The sequence below is a fragment of the Homo sapiens genome, chromosome 9 (assembly GCF_000001405.40).
Source record: "Homo sapiens chromosome 9, GRCh38.p14 Primary Assembly".
Classification (NCBI taxonomy): domain Eukaryota; kingdom Metazoa; phylum Chordata; class Mammalia; order Primates; family Hominidae; genus Homo; species Homo sapiens.
This window is the reverse complement of record NC_000009.12, coordinates 114,784,428-114,806,704: the sequence shown is the minus strand read 5'-3', so window position 1 is coordinate 114,806,704 and position 22,277 is coordinate 114,784,428. Positions and strand designations below refer to the sequence as shown.

The following is a 22,277-nucleotide window of genomic DNA, read 5'->3' as shown; positions in this document are numbered from 1 at the left end:
TGCTAGAGGTTACAACTCCAAGCCGTGATTTAGAACTAGGTCATCTTCCTAGCTCCTCTGTCTTCATCCTTGGATGACCTAGGACAAGTGCCTTCACCTTTTAGAACTTTGCTATTCCCATCTGTACACTGAGAATGAATTTCTATGAGGTTCAAAATGACAGAGGGCTAGGCAGCACTTTGCAAAGAGCTGATGCAAATGTGATTTCCGTTTCCCAATCTGCAAACCACACACCTCTCATCCCTCACTTTCACTTCCAGAAGCACACTCCCCAGACTGGCACAGCTGGTAAGCCTCCAGTGCAGGGAACAGGTATATTTTAATTTGCCCCACCCACTGACTTGATGAATTCTTTCTCTCCTCCTTCAGGGACTTTCCTAACTTCCTTCTGTAAACGAAGGAAGGAGCACATGAGCATACTGTATATAAATATGCTTGGGAAAGCTTTCTTCTTCTCCTTCTTCTTCTTTTTTTTTTTTTTTTTTTTTTCCTCAAACCAAACTTGGTTTCTGTTGTAGGCGGTGCATTCTCTAGCAGGGTAGGGCCACAGTGTGCTCTTGAAGAGGGGAGGGGAGAGGAAAAGGGAAGGAGGAGACTGAGTGATTAAGTCACCCACTGTGAGAGCTGGTCTTCTATTTAATGGGGGCTCTCTCTGCCCAGGAGTCAGAGGTGCCTCCAGGAGCAGCAGGAGCATGGCCGAGGATCTGGGACTGAGCTTTGGGGAAACAGCCAGTGTGGAAATGCTGCCAGAGCACGGCAGCTGCAGGCCCAAGGCCAGGAGCAGCAGCGCACGCTGGGCTCTCACCTGCTGCCTGGTGTTGCTCCCCTTCCTTGCAGGACTCACCACATACCTGCTTGTCAGCCAGCTCCGGGCCCAGGGAGAGGCCTGTGTGCAGTTCCAGGTAAGCCACATGGCACTCTGACCTTGGGGAGGAGCAGTGGACTCTCTGCAGTGAGTGGCAACTATTTCAGCTCTGGACAGAGGATAGAGTTTCTTGATGTATCACATTTCTTGTTTCTACATGCAGAGGAAATGTAGAGTGGGAGGGGTGGAGAGGTTCAATTTGGTGTTTATTCTCAATATTTCTAGGGAATGAACAGTCCCTTCTTTTACTGTGGGGATAACCTTCAGCCTCATATTTTTTAGATAATTATAATCATAGTATACTGGTAATTTGGGAAGATTCTTTTTATTTAAGAAAAAAACTTAAAATTACATAACTAACACGGTCATTGAAAAAAGTTAGAAAATACAGATAAGGAGAGGAAGAAAGTCATCATTACCCATAACTCTTATAGCTGACCACTGTTAACAGTTTGGGATATATAATTCTGTACAGAATTATATGCCAGATATAAAACGGATTTTTTAATGAGACGAGATTATTCTGAGTCTGCTAATATATTATGATTTTATTTATATGCTAATGAATTCACAACAACATGATGCTATAGATACACATTCCTATATGTGGATGCTATAATTTCTTTACCCACTCTTTTTCTTGGGTTTAGAACTTTTTCTCTTTTTAGAGCTTAAGAAAGAACCTCCTGCCTGGTTGTCTATCTCTAAGGTCTTGCTGAGGCCTGGGAGAAGCCTAGTCAGAAAAAGAATATGAAGTCTAGGGAGAACAATGGTAGGGGCAGCGATAGGTGTCAAGAAGAAAACATAATTCTTGGCTGGGAACAACAAAGATGTACCTCAAAACCTAAGGAATGAGTCTTTCCAGTAATATCCTTTTTAAAAATGTCCCTTCATAATCTATGGTGGCTGATTTCATTTCAGTTCAAAGTATTAAATTGCAAAGGGAAAAAAATGGGTTTTCAATGGGTTTAACTGGAAACCTAGCCTCTAAGCAATCCTGGCCAGTTTCAAAGCATAGACACCACAAGTAAGCCATGGAAAATCTGTAATTCTCGCTGCCCCATCAGGGTCAACAAACAGACTGTGATTCAGGCAGCAGCGTTCATGGCCAGATGCCATTGCTCATAAAATGTAGAAATATGCAGACAAACCGGAAATGCTGTTTATGTTAAAGAAGAACCGCAGGTCATGGGAAGTCAGACTTTGACCCTTTGACCACCAAGGGGCCAGTTTCTGCTGGAAGTCAAACTGCAGCGCCCAGTTGGTGCTCTGGGACTCTGTCCCTCTTTAGCCAGAAGGAGATAGTTGTCCTTGAATGAGACACTGAGTGGCCTCCAGAAACCTGCACTGGGGTCTGAAGGAAGCCCAGAGGCATGACAGGTTCCCACGATCAAGATGATGTCTGAGAGCCCTTGGTCAGCAGAAGGCGAGGACTGCCTTTGTCTATCTAGAAGACCAGCAAGCAGAATGTTACAGACCAGGGAGGATCCATGACTTGCCCAGCCAGAAGGTGAGATGGAGACATGCACTGTCACTAGACGGGAAGCTCGGTGAAGGAAGGCACGGGGTCTTTTTTACTCACTGCTACTGCCCCTACCTGAATCTATCACTGTGCCTATCCAATTGCAGATGCTCAAGAAATGAATAAGGCTGACACCATCCATTCCATTATCATTAAATTCATCTTCCTGGAGAGCAGATGTGTGGGGATGATTGCAGCTCTGGTTTGCCCAGGCTCTGTAACTTCTTAGTGTGTCAGAAGAAAAGGAGAGGGAAATGGGGGTGAGGCTGGGCTCATGTAGCAATCAGGGTCCTGAAAAGAAACAGCTGGCTCACTCAAGAAAGTGCATTTGTAGAAGAATATTTAAAGAGTTTGAAGGGATTTAAAGAAGGGCCTCTTTGCTGAGATGCAGACGGATTGAAGGGAACTGAAAGGGCTGGAACATCCAGCACTAGCAACAGTGGGAAACCAGCAACCATGCCTTGGCATGAAGGGCACATGGAGGGAGAAGTGTTAGAGAAACCCAGAGAGAACTAAAGCCTAGGAGAGGGCCTGCCTGGAAGACCTAAGGGCTCTGGGGAGAAAGGCAGTCACTGCCAAAACAGCAGCAAGAGCACAGAAGGAAGGAGGGAATGCTGACTGCTCCCCCATCCCCCACCCTGCCTCCAATCCAATCCCATTGACCAGGCTCAGGAGGAAGCCAGAGCTCAAAGGTCCAGGGGCAACTGAGCCAGGAGTCAGCTTCACAGGACAGAGCAGGGTCAGGAAGGGCTGAGAGAGGATCTGGAGGGACTGATGGAGAAGAAATGGCTCAGAGGAGATGGGAAAAGACTGGATTCAAGGAGGGAAAACCAGGGCACCAAGGAGAACTTGGGTAAACATACAGTGAAATGTGGCTCACTTCCAGCTATGAAAATAGGCATGTGGCTTCATTTCTTTGAGCCTTTTTCCTTTTCTCTGAAGGGGGTATTAATATCAATACTCTGACAGCACCAATAAGGCGTGTGCAGAAGGAGCATTGTGTATGTTAGAAATGTGGGGAGAGCCGCATGCACATGGTGGCTGTGACGTGATCATCACTCTACCCCAGGCACCAGGCAACTACAGAGAAAATTTGATGTTGGCCTCAGGAAATAGGCTATTTCAACAGAGAGGTGCTATGGAATTTCAGATGCTCTCCCGGCCCAGCCACAGAGACAGGGGTGGTTCAGGAAAAGCTTTCTGGAGGAGGGAAGGAAGGCACCTGGGCTAGAAGCTGTGGCTGAGGTCCAGATCACAGACACCATTATGGGTAAAAACCAGTCAGATGATCGCAGGTCATTGGAGATAACAAGGCCTTTGAAGGTCAGCTAGCCTAAAGTGCCTAGTTTTGCACATAGGGACACTGAGGCCCAGGGGATTGAAGAGATTTGCCCAATCCCATACCTCTAGTCGGTGACAGAGCCACAATTTGAAACTGGACCATCTGGCCTCCTTCCCTGTGCATTCAGGCAGCCATATTTGTGCTGTTCCAAGTGCCAGGTGGCCACACCATGGATCAAAGGAAGAAGGAGATCAGTAATACCATGGAGAAAACTATTACCACAACTATACCAGTTACTGAGCCTCACCCCTCTCCCATTGAAGAACTTCAGATGGCAAATCTTATGCCACCCACAGAGTCACCCATCTAGAACTACTGGCCCAGCAGAGAGTAAGGCTACCTGTATTTTTCCAAAGAGAGAATTAAGAATCAGAGAGCTAACACAGCATGCTTACATTACAGAAATACAATTAAAAACAAAATCTGGCCGGGCACAGTGGCTCATGCCTGTAATCCCAGCACTTTGGGAGGCTGAGGCAGGCGGATCACGAGGTCAGGAGATCGAGACCACCCTGGCTAACATGGTGAAACCCTGTCTCTACTAAAAATACAAAAATCAGCTGGGCGTGGTGGCGCGCGCCTGTAGTCCCAGCTACTCAGGAGGCTGAGTCAGGATAATCACTTGAACCCGGGAGGCGGAGGTTGCAGTGAGCTGAGATCACGCCAGCTCACTCCAGCCTGGGTGACAGAGCAAGACTCCGTCTCAAAAACAAAAACAAAAACAAAAAAAACCAAAGTCTTCTCCCAATCTAGAAATCCTCTCCACAAAGGTAGTAGAGAAAGAAAACAGTTTTATTGTTGAATAAGCATTAAACCAGAATGTGATGCACATCACAGGCAATCTACCAAGAGATGGCAAAGATAAATATCTCACCCTCTTATGCAGCCAAGCAAATACAACCCATTGCACACAAGTTAACTGAAAAAAAAGCAAAGTGCGTTAACAGCATATATAATGTGGTACATTCCTTTTATGAAAATATTTACCTATATGAACATATTTGGAAATGCATGTTATATCTCAGGAAGCGCACAAAAGAAAGTAGTAATTCTGCTAGCATCCTGGTAGAAAACTGGGTGGCTTGTCAGCAAGGGAAGGAGGGAGTCATTTATAAACCTAGCCTCTTCCATACAAAATGTGTATGCTACCTATACAAAAAAGTATAGAAATAATAAAACTGTTAGGTCCTTTAGATTTCTGCAGAATATTAGACAGACGTATCTTGGAAGAGTTTAGGGTTGAAAGTTAAAATCCAGCTTGAATTCTGGCCTAGACACTTCTTAACCATGTTACCTAACCCTTTCGGGCCTCGGCTTCTTTATGTATAAAATGGGAATAATTAGAAATAAAGTATTTGAAGTGTCTGTCAAGGAGTGAGGGATTAGTAAATGTTAACAATTATTATTATTATGACCAGGGAATTTCCCCGCTCAGGGAAATCACATCATAGAAGACAACTTCTTCACCTGCCCTGGAATTTGCCATCGCCTGGCCAGAGAGTAGGTGTTGATACTAGAGGGATTTTCTTGGTCCATGTTTATGAGCTCTCTCTGTGTTTCATTCCCCAACCAGGTCTTGCCTCCCAACCCCCACTAATTCCTCAATCCATTTTTTACCCAGCTGCACTTGACAGCCCTGTAGGCTGGGCATTCTTTGGGCCCTACAGTATCTTCCACTGCCCTCAGATTGGGTCCACAGGCCTTACTCTGGGCCCAGGTGCCCTGAGACCAGGCCTCCATCCTCTCTGGGCACAGCTCTGGCACACAAAGTCTGTGCAGGCAAAGCAGAATGCACCAAGGTGACTCAGCCCAAGCCCAGCAGTGGCACTCAGTACCTCACAACGAATCCTCAGGGATGCCGTAGGAGGCATTCCTGCCCAGGGTTTAACCACTGCCCAACCTGTCCTTCCCTTTTCAGTTCTACTTCCAGGATCATCTGCACACTCTCCCCACATTCTCCTTGGTTCCCTCCAACCTCACTTCATGCCTCCCTGAAAATCTCTACAATGCTCCTGCCTTTTATTCCTGAACCATTCTTCCCTGCTGAGGCCTCCTGGTCTCCAATCAGACCAATAGGGTCTTGTAGTGATGGCTTGGGCTTCAGAGTCACACAGACTTGAGGAAAAGCCATGGCTCCACCGCATCACAGCTGCGACCTCTTAATAACTTATTATATAGCAGAAACCACACTAAATATTTTCATATTAAAGGTTTTGAGACAAGTACATGAGATCACACCTATAAAGCATCTAGCATGGTACCTGGTAGGTAAACATGTGCAATACTTGTTTGCTATCATTACTACATGCATCACCTCAGTTAATAATGGAAATCACACAATGAGGAAACTACTATTATTATCCACATTTTAGAGATGATGAAGCTGAGGTTTGGAAAGGCTAAACAATGTGCCCAGTCACACAGTTAAAGACTGTGACACGGATTTAAATCCACTGTATATATTTCTCCTAATCACTATGTTGTCTGCCTTTGGGAATAAGTCCAACCAAGTATTCACCTCCTGGGATAGGCAGGAGGATTTAACTATGAAAAGCACCTACCCCATAGTAAGTGCTCAATAAATGCCAGTCCTCTTCCTCCCCTGAGGGCACCTATCTGTACCTGGCACACAGAAGGCACTCACTAAGTGTTTTCTGGATGGAGGGAGGGTTGGAGGGGTGGGAAATGTACTAGATCTCCCTGGGCCATAGACTCACTGTCTATAAAATGAGGAGATTAATACGCTTTCTATATAGCACTATGGTGAGAATTCTGCAAAATGTCCAGAAAGCTGCTGCCATAGAATAGATGCTCAGCAGACATGATTCCCTCCCCCTCCCCCTCCCCACTCCACCTGGGATGAGCCCTCTTATCTCACTCAAGTTGTTTCCTCTTTCCGAAGGATTAGGGATCATGATAATCTCTTTCAGTGCTATCTAGAGAAAAACAGATAGTTGAGATAAAAGTACTTTGTAAATTGCAGACCCCTTATCCCTCAGTGAAGATGCCCTTGCTATAACCTCAGGAAGCACCAGCATACCTGGAAGATATTCACTCCAAAGATCAGGTTGTGGGCAAAGGGAAGGGAAACCAGAGGCAGTGAAGGTGCACTGAGGAAGTGCAGAGGCAGGAAGGGCAAGCAAGCCTGGCTGTGAATCTCAGACATCCAGGCAGCTTGCAGCTGGTAACGGCAGAATCCACTCAACCACCAGGTAAAGTGAACATATCGCTGAGTGCCAGGCCAGCTTGGAGAGCTCCTGCATCCGCACCCAATGGAGCATACACTGCAGACCACACACTGGCTACAAGAGGTCATCTCCCAGCCTGACCCCTCCTTGTAGCTGACAGCAGCAACAAGCTGGGGATGTGAAGTGGGTGGGGCGTAAATTCCATTCCCTCAATCTATTTGCACTCTGAAAGGGCAGAAGTTCAAAAGCCTGAGGAAGCCTAGTGAATGTCTGTCCTTGGGGAAAAGCAGATGCCTCCCGGAGCTCCTAAAGCATCCAAATCTACTCCTTGTGATAAAAAGATACAAGGGTGGCTTCTGTGTACAACTGAAGTCCTAAGACCAAAAAGAGGATGTGCAGAACCAACAATACAGCCTACAATCATATATTGAGCCCAAAGAAATGAGGAAAATGAACCTTATATATGTGGCCTTTCTGAGCCATCACAATAGACCTGGGAGGTAAGAATTATTGTCTGCTTTTATTGACGAGGAAACAGTTCCATTGAGGTCAAGTGACATGCCACAATCAGAGCACCAGGAAATAATGGAGCTGGGATTTCCAAATTTGCTCACCTGCAAACACCAGCATCTTTGCTTTGTACTGTGCTGAATGTTGCACATAAAGCCCTATCCAGGGCACCTTGGAGGATGATGAAATGAAATGACCTCAGAATAAAACATTTCCAGGTTGGCGTTATCCTTGGGCAAGTATAAACAGGCAGAAGCAGAAGGAAGAGACAAAGAGGCAAACATCTGCATATTTCTCCTGGAAGTGCTGGGAGGATGTTTTGGATCATAAAACATTTATGCCTTTGCAATTACAGCATTTATGACAGCAAGAGATGAATATCTCTCCCTGTTTATGAATAGAGATAGAGAGTGACTATAGTACATGAGAGGAAAGGCTATGTGGATCATTAATTAAAATATACTTAGGGGATTTTTCTGGGGAAATGCCAGGAAATCTCAAAGATTATCTTGCTTCAGGCTTGTTCATCTATTGTACACTGAGCTGATGTTTATGAAGCTCCCAATATGTGCCAGGGTCTGTACTTGGTCTAAAGGTTCAGATCCCAAGCCCTCCATGCACTCTTTGACCTTGGACAGTTGCTTGACCTCTTTTCGTGCCATTCTAAGCCATGAAAAGGTGATGCTGACCCCTCCTTTAAAAGTAGCTGGAGTATTAGATGAGGCAAACACATAAATGCCCAATACAGGACCTGGCACCTGGGGAGCATTCCACTAAACTTCAATCTCCTCTTTATGCTTTCTTCTGCCCAATTTAAATAATTAAAGTAATTCCAAAAATACCTATAGTAACAGACCATGGTTAGTTTGAGTCAGGGATTACCAGTCAACATACAAAAAAAAAAACAAAAATCAAATGAGAGGAAAAATTCCCTGACCTACAAGAACTAAGGAGGGTAGGGGAAGAGAAGCACCAGCTGTTTTTTGCTAGGGCTAACATATGCTGGTGGGAGCAAGCATCCCATCTCCCTCTAAGATGCATGCTTATGGACATACACATTTGCTTTTCTGACTCTGGCTCCTGGCTAAGCCTTGCCACTTACAACAAATCTTTCTAGAGCCACAGCTATGCTCCACACAGAGCCTGATGAAGACCTTTAGAGGCCCTCGTACTAAATGACAAACATTTTTAATAGGAACAAAAAGTTGTCTTTCCTAGATTTTTGGATTATAAAACTCTGGCTGAAGTCACTGCATCCTCACCCCCTCTCTGACTCTCTTTGTCTGCCTCTGTCTTCCTGATGCCTGAGAATCTGTGCATTTTGCCAGTTGGATAATCTGGCAAAAGTGCCAGGCACTGACTGAGGCACTAGGAATATAGGTCCCCACCTGTAGGCAGGTTGAATTTTCAGAGCGAGAAAAGTCATAAGCACACAAATAAATAATAAAATTCGATCCTGGATTTCAGCCAGTGGTTTGAAAAGATATGTATGTAGGAATAATCTCATTATCAGACACCATGTCTATTCAATTGGAGGCTAATGTTGCCATGACCAGCACCTCTTAGGAGCCAACACCTCTTCGGTGCCCCCAGAATAACAAGAAGTGATGGAGATGAGTCAGGGCTGGAACACAGAAGACATTGCATTGGCCTGGTGTTCCCAGGAACCATCCTGAGAGCAGGCATTAGGACAGCTGTAATGCATAAACCTTTTCTCAAATAAGCTATTATTCCATCCTCTCAAATTTCTTCCTCATTCATTACTGCTTCCTATCACAATAATTTTCCTCCTGTGATAGACAGAGTTGTTATTAAGAGAAGCAGCAATGGAAGGTTTAGATGTTGTTCTTGGAGAAAGAGTCTCAAATGACGTCCTTCTTGCGGACTCTTGGAATGTTGTAGTCTTCAATATCTGCCAACAGGCTTGGTCACCACCTCCAGATGTTTAGTGGCACACTGGACCATACTTATCCATCCATATATGAAAATAAAATGTGTGCCCAAGTTACAGAAGTCCAGCAGAGCAAACAGGGAAATGTGTCCACAGCTCAGATACATGCTAATGACAATGGGATTCTGAGTCAAAGAGGAATGTTGTAAACTCTTAGCTGAATGTCATCTTAGCCAAAGACAAGCAGGATGTTCAAAATTTCTCAGCAGATAATTAAATAAATCAAAAGAGGCCAACCAGGGCAGGTACCTTTCCTACACCAGAGGATGCAATCAAGATCTCTCTGATTCTCTTTGAGAACTCCACCTTCAGTTTTCTGCCTTGCCAAAGGATCAATTCCTTCAGCTCTGTCAATATCAAGGAAGGCAATAGACTACAGAATAAGTTCATTTCTGGGCTGCTTCTCCACTCCCTCAAGACCATCCAAGTTATTGATTCTGGATAGGTGATCACAGAAATTGGGTTTAGGTTTTCAAAAACTGCTGTACTCATGACTCTGTGCCAAATGCACATAATGTATTCATTTCCCAGCAGAAAGCCTTGATGTTTTCCAACTACTCCCATGTCCTGTTGAGCCTCCTTACATGTCGTATCCATACATACGACACCACATCACAGATGCAGGGTATTGAGGTATTTGCTGTTGTGCAAGCTGTTGGCCTTGTCTGGAATAGTCATTACCTCTTTTATCACCTGGCTAGTACCTGCAGGACCTCTAAGACTCTGTTCAGGAGCAATTTCTTCTGATTCTCCCATTTCTGGGCCAGGTCTCTGTGTCCCTACTAATTCAATAAAGTAACTACACTTAACTCTGTTTCTTCAGATACCTTGAATCAATTCACAGTGGTTGCCTCTCATGGCTGGGAACACAGAGGGCTTAGAGAGAAGTAAATAATGGATAGCGAGACTGGGATAAGTTAGGACTTTGAATGCCAAGACAAAATGAGATTGGACTGGGTCTTAAGAGCCATGAGGAGCCATTGAAGGTTTATAAGCAGTGTAGTATCTAGATAAAGTGATGCTTTAGAAAAAGCCCTCTGAAGGCAGGCCAGGAAATAGATCAAGGAAAAGGAGAAAACTGAAGTACAAAGACCCTGCCAGGGGCTGATGAAAGAATCCAGGAGAGCAGCATGCCAAGGCCTGGAATTGAAACACCATGAGAAAATTGCAAAATAGAAATGACAGCCCTTGGTTTTGCAGAAGAAGAAAAAAAGAAAATTTCAGGTCTGGTAATCGAGAGAAAGCAGTAATGGTGGCTTTAACAGAATTGAGAAGTGGATGGAAAGGGGCTGGACAGACTGTAAAGTCAGTTAGTCATTCAAAGACAAGATTTCTGCCCTCAAGGGGCTTCTAGTAGAGGTTAGGTAGCATGACCTGGGAGTGAAAAAAGGCTGGAGGTCCCGGCTCTAACAAAATCACTGACATCACACACCTGCTCACAGACCTAGACTCAGCAATGACACAATTACATCCACATGACTACGCAGGCAGATGGCAAGACATCCATACATATGACGCCACATCACAGACACGTGTACAGATGCTAAAACACGTCAATTTAGTCTCCCCACTGATGGAGCTGTATTCTCTCACACTCACACAGACACACAATTCCTCATTCATGAGACAGTCCTCCCTCGGTATCCACAGGGATTGATTTCAAGACCCCCATGGACACCAAAATCTGCAGATGCTGAAGTCCTTGATATAAAATGGCATAGTATTTGCACATAACCTAGTCACATCCTCCTATATACTTTAAATCATCCATAGATTGCTTGTGATACCTAATACAGTGTAAATGCTAATACATGTAAATGCTTATGATACCTAATACAGTGTAAATTGTTGCTATGCTATATTGTTTGTTATTTGCATTATTTTCATGGTTGTAATTTTCTTCAAATATTTTTGATCCACAGTTGGTTGAATCTGCAGATATGGAAATCATAGAACCTGACTATACACTCACAACACACACATTTTGAGATGTAAAATAGATCAAGTGTTCATATAATAAGAGGATCACTCTATTAGAGGAGACTGTGTAGCAACAAGAACCAAATCAGAAGATTGGGTTGAGTCGAAATCATATTAGAGAAGGCTTTTTTTAATATCATAAATTTTGTTTTATTTTTATTTTTTATTGATACATAATATTTTATATACGTGTGGGGTACATGTGATATTTTGCTACATACATAAAATGTGTAATGATCAAGTCAGGGTATTTGGGGTATCCATCACTTTGAGTATTTATCATTTCTATGTGTTGGGAACATTTCAAGTTTTCTCTTCTAGCTACTTTGTAATGTACAGTATAATATATAGTTCCTAAATATAGTCACCATACTCTGCTACCAAACATTAGAACTTAAACTTTCTATCCAACTGTACGTTTGTACCCATTGTCTAACCTCACTTCATCCCCATCCTCTCCCACTCACACACCTTTCCCAGCCCCTAGTGTCTGTCATTCTACTCTTTACTCGCATGAGACCGACTCTTTTAGCTCCCACATATCAATGAGAACATGCAAAGTGTGTCTTTGTGTGTCTGGTTTATTTCACTTAACATAATGACCTCCAGTTCTATCCATGTTGCTGCAAATAACGTGATTTCATTTTTTATGCCAAATAGTATTCCATTGTTTATAGGTACCACCTTTTCTTTATCCTTCCATCTATATCTTGATAGAGATATGGATCAGATTGATTCCATATCTCTACTATTGTGAATAGTCTTTCAATAAGCATGTGAGCGCAAGTATCCCTTTGATATATTCATTTCTTTTCTTTTGAATACGTGCCCAGTAGTGAGATTGCTAGACTGTATGGTAGTTCTATTTTTAGTTTTTTGAGAAATATCCATGCTATTTTCCATAGTGGCTGTACTAATTTATATTCCCACCAACCATGTATAATAGTCCAATGCATGATATTATTTGTAAGCTAAGAGCATACTTTTGCTATTAAGCTTTATGCTCAGGTATGTGAGTGATGGTTCCTTCATTTTCCATGCATTCTTTGCACTAACTCATAGATTTTCTGATTTGCTCTTCACCTCAATCCTATGAGTAATTTAGGGCTAAGTATGTTATTATTCCCACTTTAGAAATAAAGACACCAAAGCTCAGAGAGAAAAAGTCTTGTCAAGGTCATATTGTTAATAAATGGTGGAACAAGGATTTAAATTCAGATCTGTCTGCCTCTAAGGCAGTTACTCTTCCACCATCATGTGGTATCTGAAATAGCTCACAAACTAGGGTTGCAATTATTTAAAAAGTCTTTATGTATTGCACAGAAACAAGGAAGAATTGTTGAGGCTGATGAAAAGGAGAACATAGCCATTATTTTCTCTTCTGTGTCGTTTTTAAGAAGAGTCCCAATTTTTAAATTATGGTAGAGGAAAGAAAATAAAGCAAGTGCCATTATTTGTTCAAATAACAAAAGCATAGACAAGATGCTGAGTTCCCCTAGAATAGAACGAGAAAATCTCTCAAGAAAAGAACCTTAAAGTTGAGCTTCAGAGACAAGCCTAAGAAAGAGGAAGGTCATTGGAAGTGTCAGGGGAGGAAAGTGGAGAGCTGAGATGCAAGATTCCCATCAACAAAAATATTTTCATTCTCATTTCCCTCATCACAGAGTACCCAGGCTGGGCAGCAGAAGCTTTGTAATCATACCTGTGCTATGGGAAGCTGTAAGTGTTGGGATCAAAAGGACCACAGTTGGTCTAAACTATACTTTCTTTCCCAATAGGCTCTAAAAGGACAGGAGTTTGCACCTTCACATCAGCAAGTTTGTAAGTATGCTCATCTTCAACGCCTTTCCTCGTGGGGAATAAGAACATTTCTAGTAGTTCTGTATGCAGGAAGTTCAGAGATGAGTCTTTAAGTACAAGTTGCTAAGCTGAGGGATGCAAATCCAGAGGAGAAATGAGGCTCTGCTGCAGGCACTAAGAAGGCAAAATGGCACCATGTCAAAGTGCATGGCCTGTGGAGCTGATGGCCTGAACTCAAACCCCAACTCCGGAATCTACTAGCAGTGTGACCTTTGGGCAAATAATCTCACCTGTCTCTGCCTGCATTTATTCACCTGTAAAAATGGTTATAGTAGATCCTACTCAAAAGGGTTAATGTGAATTAAATCAGTTAATTCCTATAAAGGAGTTAGAACAATGTCTAGCACATCAAAAGTATGCACTTCATTTTTGCTTTTTATTATCATCAACACCACCATATTTATAACTGTAATTAGACCATGCCTAATCCAACATAATATTTCTGAGAACCAAAGGGAAATTCTAAGGTCTTCTCAAGAACTAATAGACAAACAGAGGCCCAGAGAGGGAAAAGGATTCACCAAAGTCATATAGCTAAAGAATAGTTCCCATCCACTCTTCATCCCATTTCTTTTGGGCCATCTATTCAGTGAATATAGTTAAAGGGACCATGGAAGAAGGCAAAAAGCCAATTCACTCCTGTGAAAGAATTTTGTGGGAAAGAGCAGTGAGTTGTGCTTTATTGAGCATTGGCCATGTGCAAAATTCATGCTAAGCACCTCCATCTATACTGTGCCCATCTTAGATGAGATGAGAAAACAGGGTCTCAGGCAGGCTAGATAAACTTGCCCAAAGCCATGGGGCCAAGATTCATTTGTGTTCAAGACTCTTTCTTCTGAGTCACCCTGTCCTTGGTGGTGCTTGCTGCGGGTGCCACATTCCAATCCAAAATCCTGCAAGGAGTGGCACTGGACCAAGCTGGAGGAGATCAAGGTTTCTCTCCTATCATAGGCGCCATGCAACTCACAAAGGGCCGTCTTCATTTCAGTCACCCTTTGTCTCATACAAAGCACATTTCTCCTTTTGTTACAGATGCACCTCTTAGAGCAGACGGAGATAAGCCAAGGGCACACCTGACAGGTAAGCCTCCCTGCTGTGTTTTACGGGAGACCATGGGCCAGAATCCTGAGATTTCTTTCAGCACTTTACCAAAATTCATTCTAGTGGCTTAAAATGAAAACTACATTCCTTGGTAAGAGACTCCTCCCCTCAATATTCCAGTGTGTGTGTGTGTGTGTGTGTGTGTGTGTGTGTGTGTGTGTACACACATATGTATATACACACACACACACGTTTTCCTTATCTATTCATCTGTTGATGAACACTTAAGTTGATTCCATATTTTTGCGATTGTGAATAGTGCTGCAATAAGCATGTGAGTGCAGGTATCTCATGGAGGGTTTTTTGGATGTCTTCTTCCCTGTGGGGGGGTTCCAAAGGCCCATGTCTCTTGGGCATTTTCTTTCAGATTCTATCAGCCCTCTCTCTTTCTCTCCTGTCTCTCTCTTTCATTCATACACTGAGTCATTCAGAAATGGCTTCTCTCCAACTCGGAGCTGCAAGTAATTCTGGATCTGGTCACAAACAAAAAGTCCCCAGAGTTGCCAATTTATCTAGTTCATCTGTGCCCTGTTCAAGATGATGTAACTAAACATTTACCTTCAGGGAGGTGTTTCCAAAGAATTTTCATCGATATATAGAAATCAAGAGAAATTCCATACTATCACCAAATCAAGAGAAATTCCATACTATCACCAGTTGGCCAACTTTCCAAGTCTAGTGCAGAAATCCAAGGCACCTCACACCTAGAGTTCCTATACCTCTGAGACTCCAGAGGAAAGAACAAGACAGTGCAGAAGGATATGTTAGAACCCACTGAAAACCTAGAAGGTTAAAAAGGAAGCATACCCTCCTGACCTATAAGAAAATTTTCAGTCTGCAGGGGGATATCCTTGTGGCCCAAGACATTGGTGTTATCATTTGACTAAGAGGAAATTATTTGTGGTGAGCTCTGAGTGAGGATTAGGACCAGGGAGATGCCAAGTTTCTATCACTTACCTCATGCCTGTAAGACAAGTGTTTTGTTCCAATTGATGAATGGGGATAAAACAGTTCAGCCAATCACTTATGGGGCAAAGAATGGGAATTTGAAGGGTCTGGTGCCTGGCCTTGTCATACGTAAACAAGAGAGGCATCGATGAGTTTTATCTGAGTCATTTGGGAAAGGATAATTCTTGCAGCAAGCCATTTTCCTAAACACAGAAGAATAGGGGGATTCCTTAACCTTCATTGTTCTCCAGGATCATAGGTCTCAGGTAAAATTAAAAATTTTCAGGTCAGACCACTCAGTCTCAGAAAGGCAAAGTAATTTGCCCCAGGTCACTAGTCCAAGATGTTATTCTCTTTGAACAAATGTGTATGTCCAGTCACATATTCTTCATTCATTCCTCCCCAAAGCAGTTTTTAGCTGTTAGGTATATTCGATCACTTTAGTCTATTTTGAAAATGATATGAGACACTTTTTAAGCAAAGTCTACAGTTTCCCAATGAGAAAATTAATCCTCTTTCTTGTCTTTCCAGTTGTGAGACAAACTCCCACACAGCACTTTAAAAATCAGTTCCCAGCTCTGCACTGGGAACATGAACTAGGCCTGGCCTTCACCAAGAACCGAATGAACTATACCAACAAATTCCTGCTGATCCCAGAGTCGGGAGACTACTTCATTTACTCCCAGGTCACATTCCGTGGGATGACCTCTGAGTGCAGTGAAATCAGACAAGCAGGCCGACCAAACAAGCCAGACTCCATCACTGTGGTCATCACCAAGGTAACAGACAGCTACCCTGAGCCAACCCAGCTCCTCATGGGGACCAAGTCTGTATGCGAAGTAGGTAGCAACTGGTTCCAGCCCATCTACCTCGGAGCCATGTTCTCCTTGCAAGAAGGGGACAAGCTAATGGTGAACGTCAGTGACATCTCTTTGGTGGATTACACAAAAGAAGATAAAACCTTCTTTGGAGCCTTCTTACTATAGGAGGAGAGCAAATATCATTATATGAAAGTCCTCTGCCACCGAGTTCCTAATTTTCTTTGTTCAAATGTAATTATAACCAGGGGTTTTCTTGGGGCCGGGAGTAGGGGGCATTCCACAGGGACAACGGTTTAGCTATGAAATTTGGGGCCCAAAATTTCACACTTCATGTGCCTTACTGATGAGAGTACTAACTGGAAAAAGGCTGAAGAGAGCAAATATATTATTAAGATGGGTTGGAGGATTGGCGAGTTTCTAAATATTAAGACACTGATCACTAAATGAATGGATGATCTACTCGGGTCAGGATTGAAAGAGAAATATTTCAACACCTTCCTGCTATACAATGGTCACCAGTGGTCCAGTTATTGTTCAATTTGATCATAAATTTGCTTCAATTCAGGAGCTTTGAAGGAAGTCCAAGGAAAGCTCTAGAAAACAGTATAAACTTTCAGAGGCAAAATCCTTCACCAATTTTTCCACATACTTTCATGCCTTGCCTAAAAAAAATGAAAAGAGAGTTGGTATGTCTCATGAATGTTCACACAGAAGGAGTTGGTTTTCATGTCATCTACAGCATATGAGAAAAGCTACCTTTCTTTTGATTATGTACACAGATATCTAAATAAGGAAGTATGAGTTTCACATGTATATCAAAAATACAACAGTTGCTTGTATTCAGTAGAGTTTTCTTGCCCACCTATTTTGTGCTGGGTTCTACCTTAACCCAGAAGACACTATGAAAAACAAGACAGACTCCACTCAAAATTTATATGAACACCACTAGATACTTCCTGATCAAACATCAGTCAACATACTCTAAAGAATAACTCCAAGTCTTGGCCAGGCGCAGTGGCTCACACCTGTAATCCCAACACTTTGGGAGGCCAAGGTGGGTGGATCATCTAAGGCCGGGAGTTCAAGACCAGCCTGACCAACGTGGAGAAACCCCATCTCTACTAAAAATACAAAATTAGCCGGGCGTGGTAGCGCATGGCTGTAATCCTGGCTACTCAGGAGGCCGAGGCAGAAGAATTGCTTGAACTGGGGAGGCAGAGGTTGCGGTGAGCCCAGATCGCGCCATTGCACTCCAGCCTGGGTAACAAGAGCAAAACTCTGTCCAAAAAAAAAAAAATAAAATAATAACTCCAAGCCTTTAAAAAATATCATCTGAAACTGTTACATCAGATTTCTGGCACTCTACTGACTGTGGAAGATAGCCAGCTGACTGGAAGATAGCCAGCTGATTAGTTCCCTGAAGAAACCTGAAGACAGATACCTGGTTAACTAGATCAACTACACTGCCAACTTGTTTGATGCTGAGAGACAATGGACTTATTCCATGGGGGAAGGGAAAAAAGAAGTCAATCACCAAATCTGAAGAAGTTAACCTAGATCTTTGAGGTTTGATTTGCAACTTTATATGCAGAGTATTATGTGGGTATTTTCCCTTAAAATATTCAAAGGGATTTACATATGGGATTAGCTAATGAGCCTAGCCAAGACCTTCCCTGGAGGACAGGCTGGTCATTGCGGAGGTCCCTTCTGTGCTTCAGTGGGTTCATATCCTCTAGTCCGTATGATTTTCCTACGCTAATATGTCAAGGGCAGGAGAGGCAGCTCTGTTCTCCTAGCCTTTGTTGACTTGTCTGCAAAGCAGGAATCTGCCCATTTGTTTCCAAGGAGCAAATGAGCTCATGAGAATGAAAGATGTTAACTTCATGCATTCTGTGCCATCTGAGCATTTCGGTATTATATGACTGGTGACCCTTGGCCCGTATTATAAATGCTTCCTATCCTGGGAGACCTCATGGATGAGTCTGAGAGGAAATTTGGCACCAAAATCACTCTCACTCTGGTTTCCAGTAGACTATAGAGGCAGAGAGGCATTTGAGAGGCTCCTGAGCAAAGTGTCCAGTGTAGCAGGAGCACTTCATTAATATTTATTGAGTTATAATTAAATAAAAATTAATTTCTGATTTCTCAGTTTGGAGGTTAAGGCTCTAAATATATTTTCTAACCTCTGCTAGGCTAACTTAAGCCAGGCCTTTTTCTTGCCTTCCCTTTCTCAAAACAGTCAGCACAGACTCAGTGGGAGCACAGAGGAGTGTGGTCACCTCCACCTGGCTCACCAGAGTCTTCATAGAGGAAGTGAAGCCTGGAAGAAACTGGGCGGGCCCCAGATGACCACAGGGAAAGGGCATCTCAGATGGAGGAATTACCCTTGACTTAAAGCAGAAAAGAAAGATTTCTCAGTAACTCCAAAACTTGCTTGATAGGAGAATATTCCCTCAACCAATTCCTAGGACAATATTTATTGGTAGATCAAGAATGTTTCCTCAATAACTCTAGTCTAGCTCCATGATCAGAACTAACACCCATTAAAAACATAAAATGTTCTTTCTGAACCGGTCTTCATGGTGCGTGAGAGCACCAAGCAGCTTTGGTATGCAGGAGGAGTTTTGCACAGAAGAGTGGCCTGCTCAAACCTGCCCACTGTTCTGTAGGTGATCTGGTGGATCTGGAAATTTATCCCAAGACAGGAATTTCCTAATATTCGAAGACATTTGAGGCTTTGGGAAATTCTCTGCTGTGCATTTATTTGGCTCCTGTCATAAGCTTGTTTTTTAAAGAATGTATCATAGCTCAAGTTTTTACTGCTGATTTTGTTAAATTCTGTATAGTATATTTTTTACGGAAAGGCACAGTCAGACATTCCTAATAGGGCTCATGTCAGAACTTCTGTTCCCAAGGCATTATCTCCATAGCAAAAATTAGTGCACTGTTTTCAAAAGTGAGGTGGGAAAATGCTTTTAAGATCATGTGATGTTCCCCTAAAAGGGGTTAATGGGGTGTATTCAGGGTTTGGGAGGGAGGAAGAAGCATGCTTTAGAAAACAGTAAATTTAGGGAGAAAATGCTTTGTTGGTTAAATGTCACTCAAAAGGCTGAATTCAAATCAATTCCACAAACATTTACTGAGTACCTACTGCCCCTGGGGACACAGAGATAAATTATTTAGTCTCAGACACACTCATTCTAACTTCCCAGCACCTCTACTGTCTGCAGATTCTTTAATTTATTTTGGTTGTATTAGCTAATTAATTCGTAAACTTTAGGCACATGGATCTATTCTCATTATGAAAATGGATGCCATTTGATTAAGGCTGATGACTAACAAAATGATTTGTGTTTACTCGAAGTGTTTTTTTAAAAATAGCTACTCAAGGATAGTTTTCCATAAATCAAGAAGGTAAAAAAGTTCCCATTTTTTATTGTAGAATCCATTATTTAAACTACATGTAGAGACAGGTTATTATTTGCTATATTCAAGTTTGGTCATCAATACCCTTAAAAATATTAGAATTTTATGGATGACCCAGAAATGCTTTGAAAATCTGTGTTCCTCAGCAAATACAGAGACCATGATCAAAATGCACAGAATCACTAACATTTTGATGCTAGCATGGTTTCAGTCTATTTGGCAGAACAGAATTGATTATGCTACTAAAATTTCTTTTTCTTTTTTTTTTTTTTTTTTTTTGAGACAGAGTCTTGCTTTGTCACCCAGGCTGAAGTGCAGTGGCAGGATCTCAGTTCACTGCAACCTCTGCCTCCCAGGTTCACGCCATTCTCCTGCTTCAGCCTCCCGAGTAGCTGGGACTACAGGCTCCCACCACCATGCCCGGCTAATTTTTTGCATTTTTAGTAGAGACGGGGTTTCACCGTGTTAGCCAGGATGGTCTCGATCTCCTGACCTCGTGATCCGCCCGCCTCAGCCTTCCAAAGTGCTGGGATTACAGGCGTGAGCCACTGTGCCCGGACTCTGATTTTTTTTTTACTAAGGTACAGTAAGAAAAGGGAAAAGTGTACGTTTTCACTTCCTGAAATATGTCAGGTTGAATCAATAATAGAGCACACCAGAACTCTTGGCTCCATTTCAACCTAAACTATTCAGTTCTCATCACCCCAGAGGAAATTCCGCCTCTGTGCTGGTCAGTAATCCCCCTGGATTATAAAAGTTTAACTAACTCACTGTGCACAAGGCACGGCCATTGCCAACATTCTCTTGCAAGGTATTTTCCCAAGCCCTTACCCAATTCTGTTTCCATGATTGTGACATTGGGGATTAATTCTGCAAGACAGAACTGTTTATATTCTGTACCTTAAAAACACATGCAAACATCTCTTGCCTTAAGATTTCTGGCTTTCCTATGGCCCAGAGTCCTAGAAGTGTTTTGATATTTGTAGCAGAATTTTCAAGTGTACATCCTTATCCTGGATATTAACATTTTTGCATCATATTGGCAGCTGGACCTACAGAGAATTTAGTAGACTGTTAACCTAATAAGCCTTGAATCCTTTTGCACCAGTGGTGAGAGAATGTGGATCAGAGCCATCACCTCCATGCCCCGTCACCCTCTAACAACCACATTTACAACTTCCCCAGCTCTGAGACACACTTGCCTCCACCCCTTCCATCACCCCATTTTAAGATGAAAATACCACACCAGCCTGGAAGGAAGAAGTTACTTGCCCAGGGCCACATAGTGAGTTAAGGGCTGATCTAGAGCTAGGAAGCTGTCTTCCTGAACCATAATCCTGGACTCTTCTAACCTCTCTACTCATCGCAAATAGAGTTCATTTTAGTGATTTGAAGGAAGATGGGACAAGTATTTTCAAACACCTGTAGGACAACATGGAAGTGGGAGGAGACTTCTACTGTAGCTCCCCAGAGAAGAGAGCTAGGGCTACAGAGTTGCAGTTACAAGGTTGCCCTCTCTGGCTTGATCCCCAAAGGAATTTTCTACTCCAAAATAGAATTTTTCTAGGATGCTATTTCTCAGTCCCTGGAGATACTCAAACAAAGGGCTTGTCACAAGGGTTTTTGTAGAAGCTATTCTTCACAGAGGTTGGGGGAGAGATTAAGCCAAAGGATCTCTGAGGTCTTTTTCAAATCTATAATTATGTGGCCTTTTGTTCATTGACTTCCATGTGTTCTAGTTGATCATTACAAACCTGGCAGGCCTTCTCAAGGGTTCAGTAATTAGCTGTCATTTCCCATTTGTCCAGAGAGTGTCCAACACAAAATACCCCTAAGATCTTGGCCAATAGAGAAATGTCATGGAATTTTAGAAATGACAGTATCTGCGGAGTTTATTCCAAGTTATATCATTTCAAAGATGAAGAAACCCAGGCTCAGAGGGAGCCATCACATCCACACCCTGTCACCCTTCGTGGCCAGTGCCAGACAGTAGCTAGTTGGATGCTAAAAGTAGAATTTAGATATCTTAACAATAAGCCCAGCAGTCTTTCAACTTCATTCGTAAATCATTTTTGTTTTGAGCATCTGTCACGTGGCAGCACTTGCCTGGATACTGGAGAGCTGAGAAGGAATGCGACAGGCAAGTCCTACTCTCACAGTGTATACATTCAGGAGGAACAAGACACACAGTGCCAAGTAAATAAAGTAGCTGAACTTCATCAAATGATTTTATTCTTAAAGTCATTAAAGCATGTAATGTTCCCCTTTTTTTGTTTCAGGGGTGTACAGATTGAAGAAGTGTAGGTGTTTATGTGGTTTTAGTGACAAACCCCATGTGCTTTCATTGATTTTATGTTTTATGTTAAAACATCAACCGCAAGGTAAAATGCATATTGTATGTTGTTGGATACGTACTTAACTGGTATGCATCCCATGTCTTTGGGTACTAGTGTATGAATTCTAATCTCTGTAAATGAAATGTTGTATGTGTTAATATATTTAATAGATGTAACTTAATAAACTGGCATTGAAGACTGAAGAATTTTCACACTGTCAGTTCTTTTGTTAATGTGTTCCTTTGTTTTTCTTTCTAGATTAAGTCTAAGGGTAACCTCTTGGGATTTTTTTTTTAAATGCTTCTAATTCTCCATGTACTTGGCTGCAAAATGGCAACTGGCTTTCATAGTTATAATAAACCTTAAAACCTTGAGATTATAATAAACCTTAAACTGAACACCACAGATGGTGTCATTCTAGTCAGAT

At 42.5% G+C, this 22,277-nt stretch overlaps 1 protein-coding gene across 2 annotated transcripts; it reads left to right on the top strand.

Moving 5' to 3' along the window:
- TNFSF15 (TNF superfamily member 15) lies at positions 666-22,070 on the top strand. Of its 2 annotated transcripts, NM_005118.4 has the most exons (4): positions 666-902; positions 13,137-13,179; positions 14,251-14,298; positions 15,799-22,053. In NM_005118.4, exons 1-4 carry the CDS (start codon positions 693-695, stop codon positions 16,251-16,253), a joined length of 756 nt encoding a protein of 251 aa, NP_005109.2. In that variant the 5' UTR covers positions 666-692; the 3' UTR covers positions 16,254-22,053. The 2 variants fall into 2 exon arrangements, with proteins under 2 accessions (NP_005109.2, NP_001191273.1); NM_001204344.1 differs by lacking the exons at positions 666-902; positions 13,137-13,179 and having other exon boundaries at positions 14,175-14,298; positions 15,799-22,070.